This window comes from Homo sapiens, chromosome 5 (assembly GCF_000001405.40).
Source record: "Homo sapiens chromosome 5, GRCh38.p14 Primary Assembly".
Classification (NCBI taxonomy): domain Eukaryota; kingdom Metazoa; phylum Chordata; class Mammalia; order Primates; family Hominidae; genus Homo; species Homo sapiens.
In genome coordinates, this window is record NC_000005.10 from 57082691 (window position 1) to 57109514 (window position 26824).

Sequence of the window (26824 nt, forward strand, 5' to 3'; positions counted from 1 at the left end):
ATTCCCTGGGATACCCTGTCTGTCTCTACAATCTTGGGGGAAGCAGTTTTCCCAGTGTTCCCAACTCTCTTGTAGATCCAAGAAGTGTTGCTGATTTTTCAGTCCATTCAGCTTTTCAATTGTTAGGATGAAGTGGCAACTTCTAGGCTCATTACATATGAAACTGAAACCTGGAAGTCCTCATTAAAAAAAAATCTCCGCTGGGCGTGGTGGTTCACACCTGTAATCCCAATACTTTGGGAGGCCAAGGCGAGCAGATCACGAGGTCAGGAGATCGATACCATCCTGGCTAACACGGTGAAACCCTGTCTGTACTAAAAATACAAAAAATTAGCCAGGTACAGTGACACACACCTGTAGTCCCAGCTAGTCTAGGAGGCCGAGGCAGGAGAATTGCATGAACCTGGGAGGCGGGAGGCGGAGGTTGCGGTGAGCCGATATTGTGCCATGGCACTCCAGCCTGGGTGACAGAGCGAGACTCAGTCTCAAAAAAAAAACAAAACAACAACAAAAAAATACTCTATAAATCTGAATGAAAAAATATGGATTATTTCTTCCATTATTCAATAGACACATCTTTTTAAAAAAAAATGGGCAGGAGGCTTAAAGTGTCCCTTTATTTCACAAAAAAATAATATTCAAATGGCTAATGACATAAAAATACGCTCAAACTCATTAATAAACAGAGAAATCCAAATTAAAGCCTTAACAAGACAGTACTACACATTTCAATATAGCTTAAATTGAAATAATTAACAATACCAAGTGTTGATGAGGATGTGGAGCAAGGAAAGCTTGCATCCACTGCTGCAGGGAGTGTAAGTTGGTGTAAGTTTGGAAACTGGCTGGGCATGGTGGCTCACCCCAGTAATTTCAGCACTTTGGGAGGCTGAGGCGGGAGGATTGCTTGAGCTCAGGTGTTCCAGAGCAGCCTGGGCAGTATAGTGAGACCCTGTCTCTACAAAAAAGAAAAAATGTTTTTTAATTAACCAGGCACAGTGGTGGGTGCCTGTGGTCCCAGCTACTCGGGAGGCTGGGGTAGAAGGATCACTTGAGTCCAGGAGTTCGAGGCTGCAGTGAGCCATGATCGAGCCACTGCACTACTGCTTGAGAGACAGAGTGAGACTATGTCTCTTAAAAAAAAAAAAAGGAAACTATTTGATATTCCCTACTAAAGCTAAATATGTGAATATGCACATATCCTATGATACAGTAATTCCAGTCTTAGATATATATCTAACAGACCAACAGAAATGTATCAAAATGTTTATTGCAATACATTTGTTATATCCAAAAACTAAGAATAGCAAAAATGCCCATCAACAATGGAATACATAAGTAAGTTGTAGTATATACATATAGTGGAACACTATACAGAAAGAAATAGCTATGTGGAGCAACATGTATGAATCTGAGAAGCACAACGATGAACAAGAGAAGCCACATGCTAACGATATACTACATGATTCCACTTACATAAAGTTTGAACAAGCATAGCTAAACTCTGGTGTTAAAGCCAAGAGATTGCCTTTGGGGTAAGGGAGGATGCAATGATTGGGATTGGGCATGAGAGGGGTTTCTGGTGTGTTAGCAATATTTACTTTGTTGCCTTGAAAGGTGATCAAGGAATGTATTTTGTGATAATCCAGTAAACTTCACTTTTATGGTTTGTATATTTTTTTGTTCCTTGTTTATATTTTAATTTTTAAGGTTCAAAATAAAAAATGAAATAGCTTGGTCGTGAAAAGCAGTAGAGAGCTAGGAGTACTGGACAGACTTAATATGTTTAAATGTGGCCAGAGGCACCTGCCTTGAGCAGTGGAAAACACCTCAGTCTCAGGCTGATGATACAGGAGAGAAACAACAATGGGCGGACCAAGCTCATCACTTATTTTCAGGAACACATTGTTTTCATATTTGCCCTTCCAGGTCCTGTACGAAAAACTGCTTCCACTAAACTAAATGATCAATTCATTTACATTAACATGTGATATGGTTTGGCTCTGTGTGCCCACCCAAATCTCATGTCGAATTGTAATCCTCACATGTCAGGGGAGGTGGGAGGTGGGAGGTGATTGCCTCATGGGGGCGGATTTCCCCCATGCCGTTCTCGTGGTAGTGAGTGAGTTCTCATGAGATCTGATTGTTTAGAAGTGTGGCACTCCCCCTCTCTCTCTCTTCTGCCACCAAGTGAAGAAGGTTCTTGCGTCCCCTTCACTTTCCTCCATGATTGTAAGTTTCCTGAGGCCTCCCAGTCATGCTTCTTGTTAAGCCTGTGGAACCATGAGTCAATTAAACCTCTTTTCTTCATGAATTACCCAGTCTCAGGTAGTTCTTTATAGCAGTGTGAGAACGAACTAATACAACATGTAAATCCTGTAATTCTAGGGTTGTATGTGCTATTAGAGATCATATATTCCAATTACTCATCCAAGTGCATAAAAAGACAGACAATAGCTTAACTAGTAACATCCCCAGGCTTAGATTGGACTGTAGACTAAATCTTCCACTATAGAAGTTAGGTGTCAGATTGCTAGGCTGGGGAGGAAATTTCAGTCCCCTGAAATCCTTTGTCTAGGTTTGGGCTGTGCTTGAATTGTTTCACTTTGAAGGAGATATTTTGCTTGGAGCTTTGAATCATGTAAAGGTGAAAGATACTAAATCCTCAGAAGTTGTTCCAATTATCTTTTGCTGAACCATCCCAAGTTCAGTGGCATAAAACAGCAACCAGGATATTATGCTCACAGATCCTGTTGGTCAACAATCTTGAAAGGGCACAGCTTGAGCAATTGTCTCTGTTCCATGAGGTCTGGGGCCTCAGCTAGGAAGACTCCAAAGCTAGTGTGGCAGGGGCAGAGGAGATAATGTGACTCAACACCTAGGTAGGATAATTGACTGTCTTGGTTTGCCCAGGACAGGAGGGAGTCAAGATAGTCCATCTAGACTGGGGACTGCAGTCATCTGAAGACTCACTTATTAGATGTCCGGTCATTAATGTTGACTGTTGGCTGAGCACCTAATTGGAGTTATTGACAGGAATACCTTCACATGGACACTCCATGTGGCATCTTGGGCATCCTCACAGCATGTTGGCCAGGTTCCAAAAGTAAGTGCCCCAAGGGAACCAGGCAGACTTCATCACCACTTTCTGTGGTCTATTCTCAGAAGTCACATAGTGTCACCCAGTCACATTGAAGGGAAGGGATCATAGATACCACCTCTCTATAACAGAAGAGTCAAAGGCACAGCACGTCATAAGAAGAGCATGTGGGCTTGGAGATATTGTTGTGGCCATCTTTTGAAAATACAATCTGCCACAGTTGTATACAGAGCCCACTGAGACACTTCGGGGACTTGAGCATACATAGGTGGTGGGCATGGGGGAGAGGGAGCAAAAGAAATTCATTCTCTCAAATTCTTCTCACTATATTCCACATGTAATAAGTCAGTTTCTATCCCGTGGGTTTAATTTTTTTTTTTTTCAGACGGAGTCTCGCTCTGTCACCCAGGCTGGAGTGCAGTGCCACAATCTTGGCTCACTGTAGCCTCTGCCTCCGGGGTTCAAGTGATTCTCCTGCCTCAATCTCCTGAGTAGCTGGAATTATAGGCACCTGCAACCACACCCAGCTAATTTTTTGTCATTTTTAGTAGAGATGGGGTTTCACCATGTTGACCAGGCTAGTCTCGAACTCCCGACCTCAAGTGATCCACCTGCCTCGACCTCCCAAAGTGCTGGGATTACAGACGTGAGCCACCGTGCTCAGCCCTGTGGGTTTAAATTTTTAACTATGGGCTAGAATTCAACAAAATAATGGGCAAAAATGGGGGCAACGTGGCTAGCAAGGTCACATATTCAAATTTCAGGTATGTTTTATACCTTTGGGTGACATTATATGAGCATCAAGTGGCATCTGATGTTGTAAGACTATCAGCTTAGGAGTCAGAGATTCTGTCTCTGCCTCCTCTGCTAGCACCTCCATTGATTCATCTTGTGACATTTGTCAACTCACTTTGCATCTCAGGTGCCTCATTTTTTGAAATGAGAATGATAGCAGAACTTGAACTATCCACTTCACAGCCGTAGGAATCAAATAAGTATGAAAAACTGCCGCAGAAACATAAGGCATCACAGTATTACAGGCGTACCTCATTTTATTGCACTTTGTGGATTTTCTTTTGCAATGCTTTCATTATAGATACTGTATTTTTTACAAATTGAAGGTTTGTGGCAATCCTGGATTGACCAAGTCCACTGGCACCATTTTTAACAGCACGTGCTCACTTGGTGTCACTGCATCCACATTTTGGTAATTCTCACAAGATTTCCAACTTTTTTATTATTATTGTACCTGTTATGGTGATCTGTGATCAGTGATCTTTGATGTTACCATTGTAACTGTTTTGGGCTGCTATGAACCACGCTCATATGAGACAGTGAACTTGATAAATGTTGTGTATCCTCTGACTGCTCCTCTGACTTGGCTGTTCCTCTTGTCTCTTTCCCTCTCCTCAGCCTCCCTATTCTCTGAGACACAATATTAAAATTAGGCCAATTAGTAACCCCACCATGGCCTCCATGTGTTCAAGTGAAAGGAGGAATAACACATCTCTCACATTAAAACAAAAACTAGAAATGATTAAGCTTCGTGAAGAAGGCACATCTAAACCCAAGGCAGGGCTGGGTGTGGTGGCTCACACCTGTAATACCAGCACCTTGGGAGGCCAAGGCAGGTGGATCAACTGAGGTCAGGAGTTCGAGACCAGCCTGGCTAACATGGTAAAACCCCGTCTCTACTAATAATACAAAAATTAGCCAGGTGTAGTAGCACATGCCTGTAATCCCAGCTACTCAGGAGGCTGAGGCACAAGAATTGCTTGAACCCAGGAGGTGGAGGTTGCAGTGAGCTGAGATCACACCATTGCACTCCAGCCTGGGTGACAGAGTGAAACTGTGTTTGTTTTTGTTTTTAAAAAAGAAAAAGAAAAAACAAAAAACCCAAGGTAGGCCAAAAGCTAGGCCTCTCCAACAAACATATGAAAAAAAGCTCATCATCACTGGTCATTAGACAAATGCAGATCAAAACCACAATGATATACCATCTCACACCAGTTAGAATGGCAATCATTAAAAAGTCAGGAAACAACAGGTGCTGGAGAGGATGTGGAGAAATAGGAACTCTTTTACACTGTTTATGGGAGTGTAAATTAGTTCAACCATTGTGGAAGACAGTGTGGTGATTCCTCAAGGATCTAGAACCAGAAATACCATTTGACCCAGCAATCACATTACTGGGTATATACCCAAAGGATTATAGATCATTCTACTATAAAGACACATGCAAATGTATGTTTATTGAAGCACTATTCACAAGAGCAAAGACTTGCAACCAACCCAAATGCCCATCAATGATAGACTGGGTAAAGAAAATGTGGCACGTAAACACCATGGAATACTATGCAGCCATAAAAAAGGATGAGTTCATGTCCTTTGCAGGGACATGGATGAAGCTGGAAACCATCATTCTCAGCAAACTAACACAGGAACAGAAAACCAAACACCACATCTTCTCACTCATAAGTGGAAATTGAACAATGAGAACACATGGACACAGGGAGGGGAACATCACACACAGGGGCCTGTTGGGGGTGAGGGGGCTAGGGGAGGAACAGGATTAGGAGAAATACCTAATGTAGATGATGGGTTAATGGGTGCAGCAAACCACCATGGCACGTGTATACCTATGTAACAAACCTGCACACTCTGCACATGTATCCCAGAACTTAAAGTATAATTTAAAAAAAAAAATTTTAATAATAAAATATACAAACTTGGAATATATAAAAAAAAAGCCAGGCCTCTTGTGCCAAACAGCCAAGTTGTGAATGCAAAGGAAAAGTCCTTTTTTTTTTTTTTTTGAAAAGGTCTTGAAAAAAATTAAAAGTGCTACTCCAGTGAACAAATGAGTGATAAGAAAGCAAAACAGATACATTGCTGATTTGGAGAAAGTTTTAATAGATTAAACATCAAACCAGCCACAACATTCCTGTAAACCAAACCTAATCCAGAACAAGGCCCTAACTCTTCAATTCTATGAAGGCTGAGAGAAGTGAAGAAGCTGCAGAAGAAAAGTTTGATGCTAGCAAAGGTTTAAGGAAAGAAGCCATCTTTATAACATCAAAGGCAAAGTGAAGCAACAAGAGCTGATGTAGAAGCTGCAAGTTATTCTGAAGATCTAGCTAAGACCATTGATGAAGTTGGCTATTATAAGCAGCACATTTTCAATGTAGATGAAACAGCCTTCTATTGGAAGAAGATGCCATCTAGGACTTTCATAGCTAGGCAGGAGAAGTCAATGCCTGGCTTCAAAGTTTCAAAGGACATGCTGACTTTCTTGTTAGGGGCTTATGCAGCTGATGACTTGAAGTTGAAGCTGGTGCACACTTACCATTCCAAAAATCCTGGGTTCCTTAAGAATTATGATAAATCTACTCTGCCTGTGCTCCATAAATGGAACAAAAGAGCCTGTATGATAGCACACCTGTTTACAGGATTGTTCATTGAATATTTTAAGCCCACTGTTGAGACCTATTGCTTAGAAAAAATGATTCATTTCAAAATATTACTGCTCATTGACAATGTACCTGGTCACCCAAGAGCTCTGATGGAGATCGTGAGAAACAAACTTACCTCTCCAAACCCAAAGAATGGACTCAGAGACACAGGGAATAGTGGGAGCAAGATTTTTAATGACATTCTTGCAAGATCGGGTGTCTGATGCGCAGACACACACAGCATGGTTACAACAAGCCATTTATCCCCTAGTATACAGATCCCTCACCTGGTTCCTCATAGGCTGAGTACTATGGGGTCACAATCTTTCCAGACGTCGCCTATTGGTTGTTAGGTAGGCGCTTTTAGGTGTCTTATTTAGGGTTATCTCACTGCATTTTGTTGCAGCCTACAATGCATTGCAATCACAGTCAGCTCAGGGGCTTTTCAAGTATTTGACTTATGACCTAGGTAGTCAGGCGAGCTGATAGGAATAGATAAAGTGAGCTATTTTGCAGTCTAGTAAACTTTTATTCTAGATTAAACTTCTTTGGTTCTGATGAGGGCAACTAAGTGGGGCCCCAACAAGTAGGTGCTGGCTATTAAAGCAGGGGCCTAGTATATTCTGTCTTTCTGTAGTTTGCGGACCCAAGCCTATTCAAGGCACTTTGTCTTGGAAATGGACCATCATATACATTATTTCCTTCACGATGTACAGGAGATTAATGTTGTTTTAATGCCTGCCAACACAGCATTCATTCTGTAACCCCTGGATCAGCAGTAATTTTGACTTTCAAGTCTTATTTCTTAAGAAGTACATTTCCAGGCCAGGCATGGTGACTCATACCTGTAATTCCAGCACTCTAGGAGGCTGAGGTGGGTGGATCACAAGGTCAGGAGTTCGAGACCAGCCTGGCCAATATGGTGAAACCCCTTCTCAACTAAAAATACAAAAATTAGCCGGGCGTGGTGGCACATGCCTGTAGTCCCAGCTACTCGGGAGGCTGAGGCAGGAGAATTGCTTGAACCTGGGAGGCAGAGGCAAGATTGTGCCACTGCAATCCAGCCTGGATGACAGAGCGAGACTCCATCTCAAAAAAAAAAAAAAAAAAAGTACATTTCCCAGCCTGAGCAACATGGTAAAACCCCATCTCAACCAAAAATACAAAAAATTACCTGAGTGTGGCATGCGCCTGTGGTCCCAGACACTCGGGAGGCTGAGGTAGGAGGACCACTTGAGCATGGGAGGTGGAGACTGCAGTGAGCTGAGATTGCACCACTGCACTCCAACTTTGGTGACAGAGTGAGACCCCATCTCGAAAAAATAAATAAAGTACATTTCATAATGCTATAGTTGCCACAGAGTGATGCTTCTGATGGATCTGGGCAAAGTAAATTGAAAATCTGCTGGAAAGGATTCACCACTCTAGATGCCATTAGGAACATTTTAGTCCTTCAGTGTAAATAAGGTTAAAAAAAAAGTAAAAATAAAAAAAGAATCTTCATTATTCAAGGGAAAAGTCAAAATATCAACATTAACAGGCATTCGGAAGGAGTTGATTCCAATCCTCATGGATAATTTTGAAAGGTTTAAAACTGCAGCAGAGGAAGTAACTGCAGATGTGCTGGAGATAGCAAGAGAATTAGAACTAGAAATTGATCCTGAAGATGTGACTGAATTACTGTAATCTCATGATAGAACTTGAACAGATGAGGAGTTGCTTCTTATGAATGAGCAAAAAAAATGTGGTTTCTTGAGATGAAATCCACTCCTGGTGATGATGCCATGAACATTGTTGAAACGACAACAAAAGATTTAGAATATTACATAAATGTAGTTGATAAAGCAGCAGCAGAGTTTCAAAGGACAAACTCCAATTTTGAAAGATTTACTGTGGGTAAAATGCTATCAAACAGCATTGTATGCTACAGAGAAATCTTTTACAAAAGAGTCAATCAACGTGGCAAACTTCATTGTTGTCTTATTTTAAGAAATTGCAGCTGGTTACAGTGGCTCACACTTGTAATCCCAGCACTTTTGAAGGCCAAGGAGGGAGGATCATTAGAGGCCAGCAGTTTGAGATTGTAATAAACTATGACTGCACTGCTGTATTCCAGCTTGGGCAACAGAGTGAGACTCTGTCTCAAAAAAAAAAAAAAAAAAATTACCACAGCTATTCCAACGTTCAGCAACCACCAACATTATCAGTCAACAACCATCAACACTGAGATAAGACCCTCCATGAGCAAAAAGATTATGACTTGTTGGAGGCTCAGATGATCATTTTTAAGTAACAACGTATTTTTAAATTAAAGTGTTTTTTTAACATAATGATTTACACATTTAATAGACTACAGTATAGTGCAAACATAACTTTTATATGCACTGGAAAACCAGAAAATTTGTGTTACTCACTTTATTGCAATATTGGCTTTATTGCAATGGTCTGGGACCAAACTCGCAATATCTCTGAGGTATGCCTGTATATGGATGTGTCAAGTTTAGCATCTGCTGTCATCAGGAAAGCTAAGTATAGAAGCAAAAGCAGGAATAGCCCTGGATGGGAGTGCAGTAAAAATGACTTCGGGTCCCTGTAAGACCTGTAATTAAGACCTTGAGCCAAACTAATTACTTATCCTTGACTTAATAAGTTAAAACATTTTTGACAAAACAAGGACAAACAATTAGATGAAAAAAACTGTGTGTAACTTATTAATACAACGATGCTATACATCAACTGAAGTCTAAGTATATTCCTTATTTTGGGGAAATAATATAGAAAAAGTACAGTTCCTATGATTTTTACAAGATCCATAGCTGAACAAACTTTTAAATTTATTCCTATTTTATCTATCTAAAGATCTATTCTGCTGAAACTCATGATGCAGAAAATGGAGCATATTGCAGAAAAGGCTATACTGGGAAATAATTCAGAATGGAAAGGTAATAATCACAAGCAGCTGTGGAAAGTGGTTGTAAATAATTAAATGAAAAAAAATGAGATCAGGCGCAGTGCCTCACACCTGTAATCCCAGCACTTTGGGAGGCCAAGGTGGGTGGATCACCTGAGGTCAGGAGTTTGAGACCAGCCTGGCCAACATGGTGAAACCCCATCTCTATTAAAAAAACGAAAATTAGCCAGGCATGGTGATAGGCATCTGTAATCCCAGCTACTCGGGAGGCTGAGGCAGGAAAATCACTTGAACCTAGGAGGCAGAGGTTGCAATGAGCTGAGATCGTGCCACTGCACTCCAGCCTGGGTGACAGAGCAGGACTCCATCTCAGAAAAAAAAAAAAAATGAGTAACACTAAAAAAGAAATTAAATATCTCAAATTAATAACGAGTCTAGTAAAGAAATCACAGATTGAAGGAATGATAGCAACCACCTAGATGGATAAGGAATTTTATTTCATTTCTGTTCCTAAGACAGTAAGTTTATGAACAGCTCACAGTGGTATAAAGAATAATTTAAGGCAGGGGGTGGTGGCTCACTCCTGTAATCCCAGCACTTTGGGAGGCCGAGGTTGGTGGATCACTTAAGTTCAGGAGTTCGAGGCCAGCCTGGCCAACATGGTGAAACCCCATCTCTACTAAAAATACAAAAATTACCCGGACATGGTGGTGTGCACCTGTAATCTCAGCTACTTGGGAGGCTGAGGCAGGAGAATCCCTGGAACCTGGGAGGCAGAGGTTGCAGTGATCCAAGATTGTGCTACTGCACTCCAGCCTGGGCAACAGAGCTAGACTCCGTCTCAAAAAACAAAAACAAAAACAAAAACAAAACTTAAAAGGCATTGTAGGTAAGTTAATCCTTGCTTTATTATCGTTAGGCTAGGAAAATTGCTTGCCCAAAAAGAGGTGCTTTGGGTCTCAGCTTCTAGTTAATCCTTTGAGGCGTTCTCACCTGGATTTTTGTCCCTGAGTTGTGACAATGTCTCCCAAAGTTTCAATGATCACCTTTACACAGATGTCTCTGTCTCTCTAACTTCACCATTCTAGGGGCCTCACATTCATGTCACTAATGGTCTACTGATTATAGTGTAATTAATTCTCCCATTTTGCCCAGAAATAGAGGGTTTCTGGGTGGACTTTCAGTGCCAAAGCTGGGAAAGGGCTATCTAAAAGTGCTGGGATTACAGGCATGAGCCAACATGCCCAGCGAGATCATGCCACTGCACTCCAGCCTGACGACAGAGTGAGACTTCGTCTCAAAAAAAAAAAAAAAAAAAAAAAAATTAGCCGGGTTGACTGTAATCCCAGCTACTCAGGAGGCTGAGGCAGGAGAATTGCTTGAACCCAGGAGGTGGAGGTTGCATTGAGCCAAGATTGCGCCATTGCACTCCAGCCTGGGCAACAAGAGCATAACTCTGCCTCAAAAAAAAAAAAAAAATTGTTCTCGGCCAGGCATAGTGGCTCACACCTGTAATCCCAGCAATTTGGGAGGCCGAGGTGGGTGGATCACCTGAGGTCAGGAGTTCAGGACCAGCCTGGCCAATATGGTGAAACCTCGTCTCTACTAAAAACACAAAAATTAGCTGTGCATTGTGACACATGCCTGTAATCCCACCTACTTGGGAGGCTGAGGCAGGAGAATCGCTTGAACCCGGGAGGCGGAGGTTGCGGTGAGCCAAGATCATGCTATTGCACTCTAGCCTGGGTGATAAGAGGAAGACTCCATCTCAAAAAAAAAAAAAGAAAAGAGAATGGTTCTCATTTTTTCACACATGAACTATTGCAAAGGCCTCCTGTTATAAAATGAAATGATATTTAAAATATTCACCCCTAGCATATGTCTCATTACTTGTATTTATGTATTTGTTCTTCTTTCTTTCTTTCTTTCTTTCTTTCTTCTTTCTTTTTCTTTCTTTCTTTCTTTTTTTAATGGAGACAGAGTCTCGCTCTATTGCCCAGGCTGGAGTGCAGTGGCACTATCTCGGCTCACTGTTACCTCTGCCTCCTGGGCTCAAGCGGTTCTCCCTCCTCAGCCTCCTGAGTAGCTGGGACTATAGGCATGTGCCACCATGCCCAGCTAGTTTTTTGTATTTTTTAGTAGAAATGGGGTTTTGCCATGTTGGCCAGGCTGGTCTCAAACTCCTGACCTCAAGTGATCTTCCCACCTCGGCCTCCCAGTGTGCTGGGGTTAGAAGTGAGCCACCGCACCTGGCCTTATGTTTCCTGATTAATAAAAATTAATATGTCTTAGTTTCAGTGAAAGGCTGAGTAAGTGTTCTAGAGTAAAGGAGACTAAAGGGACAAGATAGAATCTTGGTTCTGGCAGGATAGTGTTGCTACAAAGGATAACATTGAAATAATCAGTGAAAACTGAGTATGGACTGTGTATCAGGTGATAGTATTTTTTTCTCTTTTTTTAAAGTAGAGGCAGCACATGGAAGCTGACATCGTGAATTTTTGCCCCAGAACAACTGCAGGAATAAATCAGGTCCTCTCAGGAGAGGACCCACAGACCTCCTGAAGGAAGCAGATTGCTCCTGCAGGACCAGGGAGACACCTCAAATACTGTGAGTGCCAAAACTGTGGAAGTGGGAAAGGGAGATGGTCCACCCCGAACACACCCACTGGGGAAACTGAAGGCCTAGATTATGGGAGAAGATTTCGACCCTATCTGGAACTGAGTCAGTTTAGCGAGCTGAGTGAAATACAGGGGTAGAGGAAGCAGCAGGAAAACCCCTGGGAGCTCCCTGGGTCCCCTAGCAACCTGTTTCTGCCTGGTCTCACAGGGGTCCTCCAGGAGAGCGGCCAGAGGTGCTGGGCCAAGGCCACAGGGAGAAGGAAATCTCCAGCTGAACTCTGTAACAATTTGAACTGATAGAGAAGCCTCCTGGCCAGAACTCAGGGGAGGGTGTGAATCCAGTGTGCAGACTCCACAGGCTGGGGTAGAAGGAAAGGCATATTTGCTTTCACAGCTAGGAGGCGGGTAGCCTGGGGCAAGTTTTTAGCTCTGCTCTCCCACTGCCTGGAAACAGACTAGGTGCTGTTGTAGGGTTGCACAGTGGGAGTGAGACCAGCCCTTTGGATTGCGTGGGAGCTGGGTGAGGCCTGTGACTGCCAGCTTTCCCCAACCTCTCTGACAACGTGCATGACACAAAAGAGGCAGCCATAATCCTCCTAGGTACACAACTCCATTGACCTGGGAACCTCAGCCCCATCCCCTACAGCAGCCACAGCAAGACCCGCCCAAGGAGAGTCTGAGCTCAGACACGCCTAGCCCTGCCCCATCTGATGGTCCTTCCCTACCCACCCTGGTAACTGAAGACAAAGGGCATACATTCTTGGGAGTTCTAGGGCCCCACCCACTGCCTGTTCCTCTCCATACTACCACAGCTGATGCTCTCTGGAAAGCGCCACCTCCTGGCAGGAGGCAACCAGCATAAAAGTAGGGCATTAAACCATCAAAGCTAAGAACCCTCATAGAGTCCATTTCACCCCTCTGCCACCTCCACTAGAACAGGTGCTGATATCCACAGCTGAGAGACCCACAGACGGTTCACATCACTGAACTCTGTGCAGACAGCCTCCAGTACTGGCCCAGAGCCTGGTAGACTTGCTGGGTCGCTAGATCCAGAAGAGTTATAATAATCACTACAGCTCAGCTCTCAGGAAGCCACATACATAGGAAAAGGGGGAGAGTACTACATCAAGGGAACACCCCATGGGACAAAAGAATCTGAACAACAGCCTTCAGCCCTAGACCTTCCCTCTGACAGAAACTACCAAAATAAGAAGGAACCAGAAAACCAACTCTGGTAATATGACAAAACAAGGTTGTTTAACACCCCCCAAAAAAATCATACTAGCTCACCAGCAATGAACCCAAACCAAGAAGAAATCCAGATTTACCCAAAAAAGAATTCAGGTGGTTAGTTGTTAAGCTAATCAGGGAGGCAGCAGAGAAAGGTGAAGCCCAGTGTAAGCAAATCCAAAATATGATACAAGAAGTGAAGAGAGAAATATTCAAGGAAATAGATAGCATAAATAAAAAACAATCAAAACTTTTGGAAACAATGGACACACTTATAGAAATGCAAAATGCCCTGGAAAGTCTCAGCAATAGAATTGAACAAGTAGAAGAAAGAAATTCAGAGCTCAAAGACAAGGTCTTTGAATTAACCCAATCCAATAAAGACAAAGAAAAAAGAATAAGAAAATATAAACAAAGCCTCCAAGAAGTCTGGGATTATGTTAAATGACCAAATATAAGAATAATTGCTGTTCTTGAGAAAGGAGAGAAATTTAAAAGTTTGGAAAACATATTTGGGGGAATAATTGAGGAAAACTTACCCAACCTTGCTAGAGACCTAGACATCCAAATGCAAGAAGCACAAAAACACCTGGAAAATTCATCACAAAAAGATCATCGTCTAGACACATTGTCATCAGGTTATCTAAAGTTAAGATGAAGGAAAGAATCTTAACAGCTGAGAGACAAAAGCACCAGGTAACACATAAAGGAAAATCTATCAGATTAACAGCAGATTTCTCAGCAGAAAACCTACAAGCTAGAAGGGACTGAGGCCATATCTTCAGCCTCCTCAAACAAAACAATTATCAGCCAAGAATTTTGTATCCAGCAAAATTAAGCTTCATATATGAAGAAAAGATACAGTCTTTTTCAGACAAACAAATGCTGAGAGAATTTACCACTACCAACCCATCAGTACAAGAACTGTTAAAAGGAGCTCTAAATCTTGACACAAATCCTGGAAACACATCAAAACAGAACCTCTTTAGAACATAAATCACACAAGACCTATAAAACAAAAACACAATTAAAAAAAAAACATCAAGGTATACAGGCAACAAATAACATGATGAATGGAATGGTACCTCACATCTCAATACTAACATTGAATGTAAGTGGTCTAAATGCTCCACTTAAAAGATAAAGAATTGCAGAATGAATAAGAATTCACCAACCATCTTATATGGGTATGAGGACTCACACAAACTTAACGTAAAGGGGTGGAAAAAGATATTTCATGCAAATGGATACAAAAAGCACGCAGGAATAGCTATTCTTATATTAGACAAAACAAACTTTAAAGCAACAGCAGTTAAAAAAGACAAAGAGGGACATTATATAATGATAAAAGGCCTTGCCTAACAAGAAAATATCATAATCCTAAACATATATGCACCTAACACTGGAGCTCCCAAATTTATAAAACAATTACTAATAAATCTAAGAAAAGAGATAGACAGCAACATAATGTTAAATACAGTGAGTTCTAAGTTTCTCTTCAAAGAATCAGTATGTCAGTATGTTCAGTTCTTTGTTCTCCATTTTAAAGTTTAACTTCCTCATTCTCTTCTTCTCCTCGCCCCTAGTTTCAGTAAACAACCTTCCCACCAGTTCCAATCAGTAGTTCACATCTGTTCCCCTGGTCACCTGCTCCATCCTGAGTCAACCTTGGTCACCTGCTCTGACCTGAGTCACCTTTAGTCACCTGTTCCGTAACTGTCTTTACTGACGAAACTGCTCACCCCGCCACTCTGGCTCATACCCCTGCTCCTTTAAAATAGTCGGTCGGAATTAGCTTAGACTGTGTGGTTCAACACTCGCCAATAGGGGACTGACACAGCAGTAGGGACTACTTCCATCAAAGATAAGAACCCCTTCCCCTCCATTGTTCAGGTGTGCTCTCGCCATTGCTCCATCTGCAAGACACACCCCTCTATAGAAGTAAAATTGCCTTGCTGAGAAAATTTATGTTTGAGTGCTATTCCTTCTGCAGCAACAAAATTTATTTCTGACAATAATAATAGTGGGTAACCTCAATACTCCACTGACAGCACTAGATAGGTCATCAAGACAGAAAGTCAATAAAGAAACAATAGATTTAAAGATTTAAACTATACCCTAGAACAGATGGACTTAACAGATATATACAGAACATTCCATCCAACAACCACAGAATATACACTCTATTCAATAGCGCATGGAACTTTCTCCAAGATAGAACATATGATAGGCCACAAAACGAACCTCAATAAATTTTAAAAAACTGTAATTACATCAAACACTCTCTGAGACCACAGTGGAATAAAACTGGAAATCAACTCCAAAAGGAACCTCCAAAACCATGCAAATACATAGAAATTAAATACCCTGCTCCTGAATGATCATTGGGTCAGAAATGAAATAAAGATGAAAATTTAAAAATTATTCGAACTGAACAACAATAGTGACACAACCTATCAAAACCTCTGGGACACAGCAAAGGCAGTGCTAAGAGGAAAGTTCATAGCCCTAAATGCCTACATCAAAAAGTCTGAAAGAACACAAACAGACAATCTAAGGTCACACCTCAAAGACCTAGAGAAACAAGAACAAACCAAACCCAAACCCAGCAGAAGAAAGGAAATAACCAAAATCAGAGCAGAACTAAATGAAATTGAAACAACAACAAATACAAAAGATAAATAAAGCAAAAAGCTGGTTCTTTGAAAAGATAAATAAAATTGATAGACCATTAGCAAGATCAACCAAGAAAAAAGAGAGAAAATCCAAATAAGCTCAATAAGAAAAGAAACAGGAGATATTAAAATTGACATCACAGAAATACAAAAGATAATTCAAGGCTACTGTGAACATCTTTATGCACATAAATTAGAAAACCTAGAAGAGATGGATGAATTCTTGGAAAGATACAACCCTCCTAGCTTAAATCAGGAAGAATTAGATACCCTGAACAGACCAATAACAAGCAGCAAGGTTGAAATGGTAATTTAAAAATTACCAGCCCAGCGCAGTGGCTTGTGCCTGTAATCCCAGCACTTTGGGAGGCCAAGGCGGGCAGATCACCTGAGGTCAGGAGTTCGAGACCAGCTTGACCAACATGGAGAAAACTCATCTCTACTAAAAATACAAAATTAGCCAGGCATGGTGGTGCATGCCTGTAATCCCAGCTACTTGGGAGGCTGAGGCAGAAGAATCACTTGAACCCAGGAGGCAGAGGTTGTGGTGAGCTGAGATCGCACAATTGCACTCCAGCCAGGGCAACGAGCAAAACTCTGACTCAAAAAAAAAAAAAAGTTACCAACAGGCCAGCCATGATGGCTCATGTCTATAATCCCAGCATTTTGGGAGGCTGAGACAGGTGGATCACCCGAGGTCAGGAGTTCAAGACCATCCTAGCCAACATGGTGTCTCAACTAAAAATACAAAAATTAGCCAGGCATGGAGGCACGTGCTGAGGTGGGAGAATTGCTTGAACCCAGGAGGCAGAGGTTGCACTGAGCTGAGATAATGTCACCGCACTCCAGCCAGGGCAACAGAGAGAGACTCCCTCTCAAAAAAAAAAAAAGAAAAAAAAATTACCAACACGAAAAAGTCCGGGATCAGACGGATTTACAGCAGAATTCTATGAGACTTTCAAAGAAGAATTGGTACCAATCCTATTGACACTATTCCACAAGATTAAAACAAAAAAAAAGGGAACCCTCCCTGAATCATTCTATGAAGCCAGTATCACCCTAATACCAAAATCAGGAAAGGACATAACCAAAAAAGAAAACTACGGACCAATATCCCTGATGAACACAGATGGTAAAATCCTTAACAAAATACTAGCTAACTGAATCCAACAACATATCAAAAGGATAATTCACCATGATCAAGTGGGTTTTATACGAGGGATGCAGGGATGGTTTAACATATGCAAGTCAATAAATGTGATACACCACATAAACAGAATTAAAAGCCAAATTCACATGATCATCTCGAAGGATGCAGAAAAAGCATTTGACAAAATCCAGCATCCCTTCATGATTAAAACTTTCAGCAAAATCAGTATAAAAGGGACATACCTCAATATAATAAAAGCCATCTATGGCAAACCCACAGCCAACATAATACTGAATGGGGAAAAGTTGAAAGCATTCCCTCTGAGAACTGTAACAAGACAAGAATGCCCATTCTCACTATCCCTCTTCAGTATACTACTGGAAGTCCTAACCAGAGCAATCAGACAAGAGAAAGAAATAAAGGGCATCCAAATTGGTAAAGATGAAGTCAAACCATTACTGTTTACTGATGATATGATTGTTTACCTAGAAAACCCTAAAGACTCCTCCAGAAAGCTCCTAGAACTGATAAAAGAATTCAGCAGGCTGGGCGTGGTGGCTCACTCCTGTAATCCCAGCACTTTGGGAGGCCAAGGTGGGTGGATCACGAGATCAAGAGATGGAGACCATCCTGGCCAACGTGGCGAAAGCCCATCTCTACTAAAAATACAAAAATTACCCGGGCATGGTGGCACGTGCCTGTAATCCCAGCTACTCGGGAGGCCGAGGCAGGAGAATCGCTTGAACTCAGGAGGCAGAGGTTGCAGTCAGCCGATATCGTGCCACTGCACTCCAGCCTAGTGACAAAGCGAGCTTCCATCTCAAAAAAAAAAAAAAAAAAAAGAAGAAGAAGAAGAAGAAGAAGAATTCAGCAAAGTTTCTGGATACAAAATTAATGTACACAAATCAGTAGCTCTTCTATACACCAACAGCAACCAAGCTGAGACTCAAATCAAGAACTCAACCCCTTTTAAAATAGCTGCAAAAATAAAGTAAAATACTTCGGGATATACCTAATCAAGAAGGTGAAAGACCTCTACAAGGAAAACTACAAAACACTGCTGAAAGAAATCATAGATGACACAAACAAATGGAAACACATCCCATGCTCATGGATGGGTAGAATCAATATTGTGAAAATGACCATACTGCCAAAAGCAATCTACAAATTCAATGCAATTCCCATCAAAATACCATCATCATTCTTCACAGAATTAGAAAAAACAATTCTAAAAATCATATGGAACCAAAAAAAAGCCCACATAGCCAAAGCAAGACTAAGCAAAAAGAACAAATCTGGAAGCATCACATTGCCTAATTTCAAACTATACTATAAGGCCATAGTCACCAAAACAGCATGTTACTGGTATAAAAATAGGCACATAGATCGATGGAACAGAATAGAGAACCCAGAAATAAACCCGAATACTTACAGCCAACTGATCTTTGACAAAGCCAAAAAACATAAAGTGGGGAAAGGACACCCTTTTCAACAAATGGTGCTGGAATAATTGGCTAGCTACATGTAGGAGAATGAAACTGGATCCTCATCTCTCACCTTACACAAAAATCAACTCAAGATGGATTAAGGACTTAAATCTAAGACCTGAAACTATCGAAATTCTAGAACATAATGTTGGAAAAACCCTTCTAGACATTGTCTTAGGCAAGGATTTCATGACCAAGAACCCAAAAGCAAATAAAATAAAAGCAAAGATAAATTGCTGGGACTTAATTAAACTAAAGAGCTTTTGCATGGCAAAAGGAACAATCAGCAGAGTAAACAGACAACCTACAGAGTAGGAAAATATCTTTACAATCTATACATCTGACAAAGGACCAATATCTAGAATCTACAATGAACTCAAACAAATCAACAAGAAAAAAACAAACTATCTTGGCTGGGTGTAGTGGCTCACACCTGTAATCCCAGCACTTTGGGAGGCCAAGGCAGACGGATCACCTGAGGTCGGGAGTTTGAGACCAGCCTGACCAACATGGAGAAAACCCATCTCTACTAAAAATACAAAATTAGCCAGGCATGGTGGTGGGTGCCTGTAATCCCAGCTACTCGGGAGGCTGAGGCCGGAGAATCCCTTGAACCTGGGAGGCAGATGTTGCAGTGAGCCAAGATCACACCATTGCACTCCAGCCTGGGCAACAAGAGCTAAACTCCATCTCAAAAACAGCAACAACAACAATAACAAGCCATCAAAAAGTGGTCTAAGGACATGAATAGACAATTCTCAAAAGATATACAAGTGGCCAAAAAACATGAAAAAATGTATGATCAGGGAAATGCAAATCAAAACCACAATGCGATACCACCTTACTCTTGCAAGAATGGCCACAATCAAATGAATGAGACTCCGTCTCAAAAAAAAAAAAAAGAAAAAAAAGGAAAGAGAAGAAACTGTGATATATATATGATGGAATACTACTTGGCCACAAAAAGGAATGGATTAATGGCATTCACAGTGACCTGGATGAGACTGGAGACTATTATTCTAAGTGAAGTAACTCAGGAACTGAAAACAAAACGTCGTGTGTTTTCATAAGCAGGAGCTAAGCTATGAGGATACAAAGACCTAACAATGACACAATGGACTTTCGGGACTCAGAGGGCAAGGGTGGGAAGGCGGTGAAGGATAAAAGACTACAAATAGGGTGCAGTGTATACTGCTCAGGTGATGAGTGCACCAAAATCTCACAAATCACTAAAGATCTTACTCATGTAACCGAACACCACCTATTCCCCCAGTAAGCTATGGAAATAAAAAATTAAAAAATAAAATAAAATGAAGCAGTCTTGCTATTGGTGCCCAGGCTGGTCTCAAACTCTTGGGCTCAAGCATTCCTCCCACCTTGGCCTCTCAAAGTGTTGGAATTATAGGCATGAGCCACCACACCTGGCCCAGGCAATAGTATTTTATCAGCATTAAATTTATTGAGTTACATTATCACTCTGTAGTTATTATCCTAACGTCCTTGTTCTTAAGATTATTTGCTATAGAGATGATGGGCCATAATCTCAACCACTTACTTTCATGTTTTCACGAAGAAAAGTTGTTTTAAAAATAAGAATAAGAAAGAAGTAAAATGAAAAATGAAACAGGTATCTTAGATATGTGTAAGTATTTGGCAATTTTGGTGAAACATTAACTAATCACTGACTACTCAGTGCCCAAATGTCTGTTTCAGGCAGTGTGTTCAAAGGTCCCATTCAAGGCAAATGCAATGAAGATCTGAGGTCTAGTGTCAGGTCAACATGAGTTGTAAAGTCAAAAGCATTCCAGAAGCCCCTTTCTCCACTAAATGCAGAGTTTAAGGGGTTCTATGAGCCAAAGTTTTGTGGAAGAACAAAGGGATTTGCAAAGCAAGTGCTTATCAAAGTAAAGTTTAGAGGGACTCTAATAAAGACAAAAGCACTGGATGGTCCGTCCCAACCCTGCTTTCCACTTTTTACTGCAACCCAGCCCTCTAATTTCTAAATTTTTTGTATCTCTGACATTAAGAAATGAAGTCTTGAAAAGGTAAATCTATAATGCAGGGTCAACTGGCTTTATGTCTTTTTTCTTTTCTTTTTTTTTTGAGATACCATTGGGCTCTGTTACCTAGGCTGGTATACAGTGGTGTGATCACAGCTCACTGTAACCTTGACCTTCTGGGCCGAAGCAATCCTTCCACCTCAGCCTCCAGAGTAGCTGGGACTACAGGCACATGCCACTACTCTAGGCCAAGTTTTGTATTTTTTGTAGAAATAGAGTTTCACTGTATTTCCCAGGCTAATCTCAGACTCCTGGGCTCAAGCAATCAGCCGACCTCAGCCTGCCAAAGTGCTGGCATTACAGGTATGAGCCACCATGCCTGGTTACTGGCTTTACGTCTTAAAGACACCGTATCAGAGCTGACCTCACTGGCTCTGAGTCTTTGAACTGGTGATTGGAGACCAAGTAACAGGCAGGTATACGAGGTTGGTCTAGGGAAAAAACACCTGTTTTGTGAATTTCAGGTCTCTGACAGCTTCCTCTACAAAGAGTCACCTCCTGAGATGTGGGAAAGGAGTGACAATGTGTTGTACTGACACTGCATCTAAGTTTCAAAGCCAGTGTGGTATTTCTCCAAAGCCCAAATTCCTAGCCTAAATGTCCTGCTGCCACATCAATGCCCCATACAATCTGGCCCTGTACTTTTGTCCCTTATCCAACCTACATGCATACTATTCCTTCAAACGTAGCTTAATTTTTAGCTATATCTAAATTACCTACCCCTCACTTAACCCATAATGCTTCTTTATGCCTCCATATATTTGCTTATGTTTTGCTTCTACTCAGATCACCCTTACCCCCCAGGGCATGCAAGAAACATCATCTTGCGTCAAGTTTATCCCAAATTTCTTTTTATCTTTCAAACCTTTAATAAATTCTTTTTTTTTTTTTTTTTTTTGAGACAGAGTCTCGCTCTGTCGCCCAGGCTGGAGTGCAGTGGCGCAATCTCGGCTCACTGCAAGCTCCGCCTCCCAGGTTCACGCCATTCTCCTGCCTCAGCCTCCCGAGTAGCTGGGACTACAGGCGCCTGCCACCACGCCCGGCTAATTTTTTTGTATTTTTAGTAGAGATGGGGTTTCACCTTGTTAGCCAGGATGGTCTCGATCTCCTGACCTCGTGATCTGCCCGCCTCGGCCTCGCAAAGTGCTGGGATTACAGGCATGAGCCACCGCGCCCGGCGCAACTCTTTTTTTTCTAACTTCTCCAAGCAGAGGTTGTTCTCCCACATTAAGACCTTATACAGACTTTTATTATAATTTGTATTATTTTCCTTTTTATTTTTGATTAGTTTTCATGTCTGTCCTTTTGATTAGATGTAAACTCCTTCAAAGCCAAAACTGAGTCATAGCAATTGTTTTTTTTTTTCCTGTGGTCCACTATTTCAATTCCTTTCCTGTCAGCACAGGTTTCTCCTTATACAATACCAGCCCCGCAAAGTGTCTTCTCCTTTTCAATTTCAACACCCACACCCAACTTTTTCATGGAATTTGCTCCCTTCCTATTCAGGTGTGTACTCTTTTAATTACTGATCCCTAAACACTTGGAGCAACAAGAGGTCTAACTCCATCACCTTGCAGTAGAATGCTGACAGGTAGCCAGAGCATCAGTGGAGGTGCACTTCCTTTCTGGATCACTCAGCCTGATGTTTCTTTCCATTCACTGGCTATTGTATGACGTATCTGTGGTGCTTACAGCCCAGGTTGGTCTGGAACACATCCATTTCCCTACTTATGATGGTAGAATGGATAGTTTGGGTATGGAAGGAAGCCCCTCAGTTGGATGAGGCTGTGAAGAAACAAGGGCAGGGATGCAAATAGAAGTGGAGACTGGAGTGGAAGGCCATTGTGTTAATTAGCTTGATTGCTGAGAAGATACAAAAAAATGAGTGACTGGGAAGAGGCAAGAGCCACACCTGGCCCCATCTGTTGCATGTTACTTATTGCGTTAGCCTTGTTTCTCTCTCTCTCTCTCTCTCTCACACACACACACTCTCTCTCTCTCTCTCACACACACACACACACACACACACACACACAGTCACCTGAAAGGTGTTCCATGAGGTGTATTGTCCAGCCTGAGTTTTCCCCAGGAATAGGTAGGAGTGTGGAGCCCTATAGAATGGAAAATATGGATGTATGTCCTAGTTACAGTTGAAGGAGTGTCTGGGTGGGGGTGTAAACTATAAAGCAATTCTGTCATGGGAAGATGGATAACCAGTTTTCCTGGTAATAGGTAGAGTAAAAGAGTAATCTCAGTTGGTTATTAATTCTTGTACTATTCCAGATCTTTTGCATTCATTATCTACTCAAATCCTCAAAACAGTCCAATGAACTATGTATTATTCCAACTTCACAAATGTGGAAAGTAGCTCTTAGACCAAATTATTAACCGGTCTAACAGCAAATTAGTGACAGAGCCAACACTGAGTCAATATTGAAATTCAAATGTGTCTAATTCCAAAATCATCATGACATAACACCTACAAGATATCCAAAACACAGTTCATTCATTTAGCTAACAGATGTTTATTGTGCACCCACTGGAGGCAAGCACCCACTGGGAATATAATAATAAGGTAAAACAAAAACATGCTTCTCCTCGTGGAGCTTACAGCCTCATGGAAGAGATAAGCATCAATCAAATCATCAAGCAAGTAAGTGCAATATTGCAGCTGTGACTTGTACCATGAAGGAAAAGTACATAGTGCTATAAGAATGTATTAGTATGGGGCCAGGTACAGTGGCTTACACCTATAATCCCAGCACTTTAGGAGGCCAAGGTGGGAGGATCCCTTGAAGTCAGGAGTTTGAAAACAGCCTGGGTAATACAGTGAGACCCTGTCTCCAGTAATTCTAGCTACTTGGGATGCTGAGGTGGGAGAATCACTTGAGCCCAGGAGTGCAAGGCACAGTGAGATATGATTGCAACACTACACTCCAGCCTGGGGGAAGGAATAAGGACCTGTCTCTTAACAAAAAAAAAAGAAGAAGAAAGAAGAAGAAGGAGGAGGAGGAGGAGAAAAAGAATATACCTATCCAACATTTCCTCTTCTAAAAACTTCACTTCTGGCCAGGTATAGTGGCTCATACCTGTAATTCCAACACTTTGGGAGGCCAAGGTGGGAGGATTGCTTGAGCCCAGGAGTTCAATACCAGCCTGAGCAACATAGTGAGACCCCACCTCTAAAAAAAAAAGAAATTATAAGTTAGCCAGGTATGGTAGCATGCACCTGTGGTCCTAGCTACTCGGGAGGCTGAGGTGGGAGGATTGCTTGAGCCCGAGAGTTCGAGGTCACAGGAGCCAAGATTGCACCACTGCACTCCAGCCTGGGCAACAAAGCAAGACTCTGTCTCAAACACAAAACTTCAGTTTTCCTTTGGGAACCACCCCTTCCTCATTCTCTGACAATGCAGTTCAGGTAGAGCTAACATGGCCCCACTCACTAATCACAGCCTCTCCCCACTGACTTCATTGAAGGTCACATGACTTAGCCCTGGCTAATGAAAGTACTACTTCCCTAGGACCACAGTGATTGGTTCAAGAAAGTTTCATGTGACTCAAGCCAGGCCAATGAGAAAGATGCAGAGATTTTCCTGGCACCATTAAGAATGAGATATTCTTCTTCAATTGAGCAGCAAAGCTAATAGAATGCACTTGGAGCTGCTGGTGGCCGTGACACAAGGAGAGGATACCTGAGGATGAAGCTAACAGAGAAGAGGAGAGGCAAGAAATACAGATCCCCGCAGATATTAATTAAATACATGCACCCAGGTTCATATCAGCAACCGATAAACATTTTGGTTATATGAGCCAGTTAATTCGCCTCTTTCTGCTTAAGCCAGTTTGACTGATTGTTTGGTTGGTTGATTGAATTTTTTTTAATCACTTGCAGTTAAAAGAGAAAAGCATCCCAACTGAGAGATTTATTTTTTATTTATCTTTTTTTTTTTTTTTTGAGGTAGACTTTTGCTCTTGTTGCCCAGGCTGGAGTGCAGTGGCACAATCTGGGCTCACTGCAAGCTCTGCCTCCCTGATTCAAGCGATTCTCGTGCCTTAGCCTCCTGAGTAGCTGGAACTACAAGCACGTGCCACCATGCCTGGCTAATTTTGTATTTTTAGTAGAGATGGGGTTTTACCATGTTGGCCAGGCTGGTCTCGAACTGCTGACCTCAGGTGATCCACCAGCCTCGGTTTCCCAAAGTGCTGGGATTACAGGCATGAGCCACCATGCCCGGCCTGACTGAGAGATTTATCTGCACAGTCAGGGAAGTCTTCCATGAAGAACTAAGGTGATCTGAATTCTGAAAGATAAGTAGCAGTTAATTTGGCAAAGAGAGGAAGGAGGAGTGTTCCAGTCAAAGAGACTAGCAAGTGCTAGAGCTTTGTATGAGGAAGGAGCATGATGATTGAGAGGGATGGAGAGAAGGCCAGTGTGAGTGGACAGAGCTGATGTAGTACAAGATGAAAATGGAAAGACAGCTTCCTGTCTTTAGCATAGTAAACTGTGCTAAGGATTCTGATCTTTGGATTTAGAGCCAGAGGACACATTTAAGGGCTTTTAAGTATGATGGATAAGGTAGTGGTGATACTACCAGACTTGTATACAGGTTGTTTTTTCCTTTAATGAGACAGGGTCTCACAATGTTACTCAGGCTAGAGTGCAGTGGCTATCCAGAGGCATAATCACAGTGCACTCTAGCCTTGAACTCCTGACCTCAAAGATCCTCTGGTCTCAGCCTCCCTAGTAGCTGGGACTACAGGTGCACTCCACTATGCCCAGCATCTACATACAGGGTTGTTGTTCTTTTTAATTCGCAGGCTGTTATATGAATAGATTGAAGGTTATCAAGAGTGGATAAACGAGAGGAAGTATATAGCCCCATCTATGCCAAAAGATGCATCTTGAATCTAATCAAGATAATAAATCTAACTACCAGTTTATAGGAAATATGGGAGCCAGAGGAACATGTTAAACAATGCCACAAAGATACAATCAGCCAAATCCAGGATACAAGATATTAAATGGGATGAATGAACTGGTTTCTGCAAAAACTAACTGAGATTAAGAATTTTAGGCCAGGTGCGGCGGCCCATGCCTGTAATCCCAGCACTTTGGGAGGCTGAGGTGGGTGGATCACGAGGTCAGGAGTTTGAGACCAGCCTGGCCAACATGGTGAAATCCCATCTCCACTAAAAATACAAAAATTAGCTGGGTGTGGTGGTGGGCACCTGTAATCCCAGCTACTCAGGAGGCTGAGGCAGAAAAATTGCTTGAACCCGGGAGGCAGAGGTTGCAGGGAGCCAAGATCGTACCACTGCACTTCAGCCTGGGTGACAGAGCAAGACTCCATCTCAAAAAAAAAAAAAAAAAAAAAGAAGACGACGAAGAAGAAGAATTTTAGAGCAAGGCCCTCTAGCATGCACTTGTAGTCCCTTCTACTTGGGAAGCTGAGGCAGGAGGTTTGAGCCCAGAAGTTTGAGACCATCCTGCACAACATAGTAAGATCTATCCAGTTTGGTGGGTGGAGAATAAAAATAATTTTTTTGTAAGGGATGTGGTCTTGCTAGGTCATCTAGGCTAGTCTCAAATTCTTGGCTTCAAGTGATCCTCTAGCTTTGGCTTCCCAAAGTGCTGGGATTACAGAAATATGCCACTGCACCTAGCCAGAAGAAGAATGTTTAAAAAGGAAGTGATTGGATATTATTTGGATCCTGATGTAAACAAACTGCAAAAGATATTTTGACACAATCAGGCAAATGTGAACATCTGTTGGGTATAAGGTGATATTAAGAAATAATTGGAGGCCAGGCGTGGTGTCTCATACCTGTAATCCCAGCACTTTGGGAGGCCGAGGCGGGTGGATCACCTGAGATCAGGAGTTCGAGACCAGCCTGATTAACATGGAGGAACCCAGTCTCTACTAAAAATACAAAATTAGCCGGGAGTGGTGGCGCATGCCTGTAATCCCAGCTACTCGAGAGGCTGAGACAGGAGAATCACTTGAACCCAGGAGGCAGAGGTTGTGGTGAGCCGAGATCGCGCCATTGCATTCCAGCCTGGGCAACAGAGCAAGACTCTGTCAAAAAAAAAGAAAGAAAGAGAGAGAGAAGGAAGGAAGGAAGGAAGGAAGGAAGGAAGG

At 42.0% G+C, this 26824-nt stretch overlaps 5 annotated features.

Annotated features, from left to right (window-relative positions):
* Window positions 579-748: an enhancer, noted in NCBI's record as "experimental_86327 CRE fragment used in MPRA reporter constructs". NCBI's record gives its function as "activates a minimal promoter by MPRAs in K562 erythroleukemia cells, with activity observed for the non-introgressed 5:56379181 variant allele {active_cell/tissue: K562}" and the evidence as "EXISTENCE:reporter gene assay evidence [ECO:0000049][PMID:34662402]".
* Window positions 11076-11577: an enhancer, noted in NCBI's record as "H3K4me1 hESC enhancer chr5:56389593-56390094 (GRCh37/hg19 assembly coordinates)". NCBI's record gives its function as "activates a minimal SCP1, AML or CMV promoter by ChIP-STARR-seq in primed H9 embryonic stem cells {active_cell/tissue: H9 hESC(primed)}" and the evidence as "EXISTENCE:reporter gene assay evidence [ECO:0000049][PMID:30033119]".
* Window positions 12604-13103: an enhancer, noted in NCBI's record as "H3K4me1 hESC enhancer chr5:56391121-56391620 (GRCh37/hg19 assembly coordinates)". NCBI's record gives its function as "activates a minimal SCP1, AML or CMV promoter by ChIP-STARR-seq in naive H9 embryonic stem cells {active_cell/tissue: H9 hESC(naive)}" and the evidence as "EXISTENCE:reporter gene assay evidence [ECO:0000049][PMID:30033119]".
* Window positions 12726-12846: a silencer, noted in NCBI's record as "fragment chr5:56391243-56391363 (GRCh37/hg19 assembly coordinates)". NCBI's record gives its function as "represses an EF-1alpha promoter that drives an FKBP-Casp9 reporter gene in an ReSE screen in phorbol 12-myristate 13-acetate-treated (for megakaryocytic differentiation) K562 erythroleukemia cells {active_cell/tissue: K562(+PMA)}" and the evidence as "EXISTENCE:reporter gene assay evidence [ECO:0000049][PMID:32094911]".
* Window positions 15118-15318: a silencer, noted in NCBI's record as "peak5252 fragment used in MPRA reporter construct". NCBI's record gives its function as "represses an SCP1 promoter by STARR-seq MPRAs in K562 erythroleukemia cells {active_cell/tissue: K562}" and the evidence as "EXISTENCE:reporter gene assay evidence [ECO:0000049][PMID:32103011]".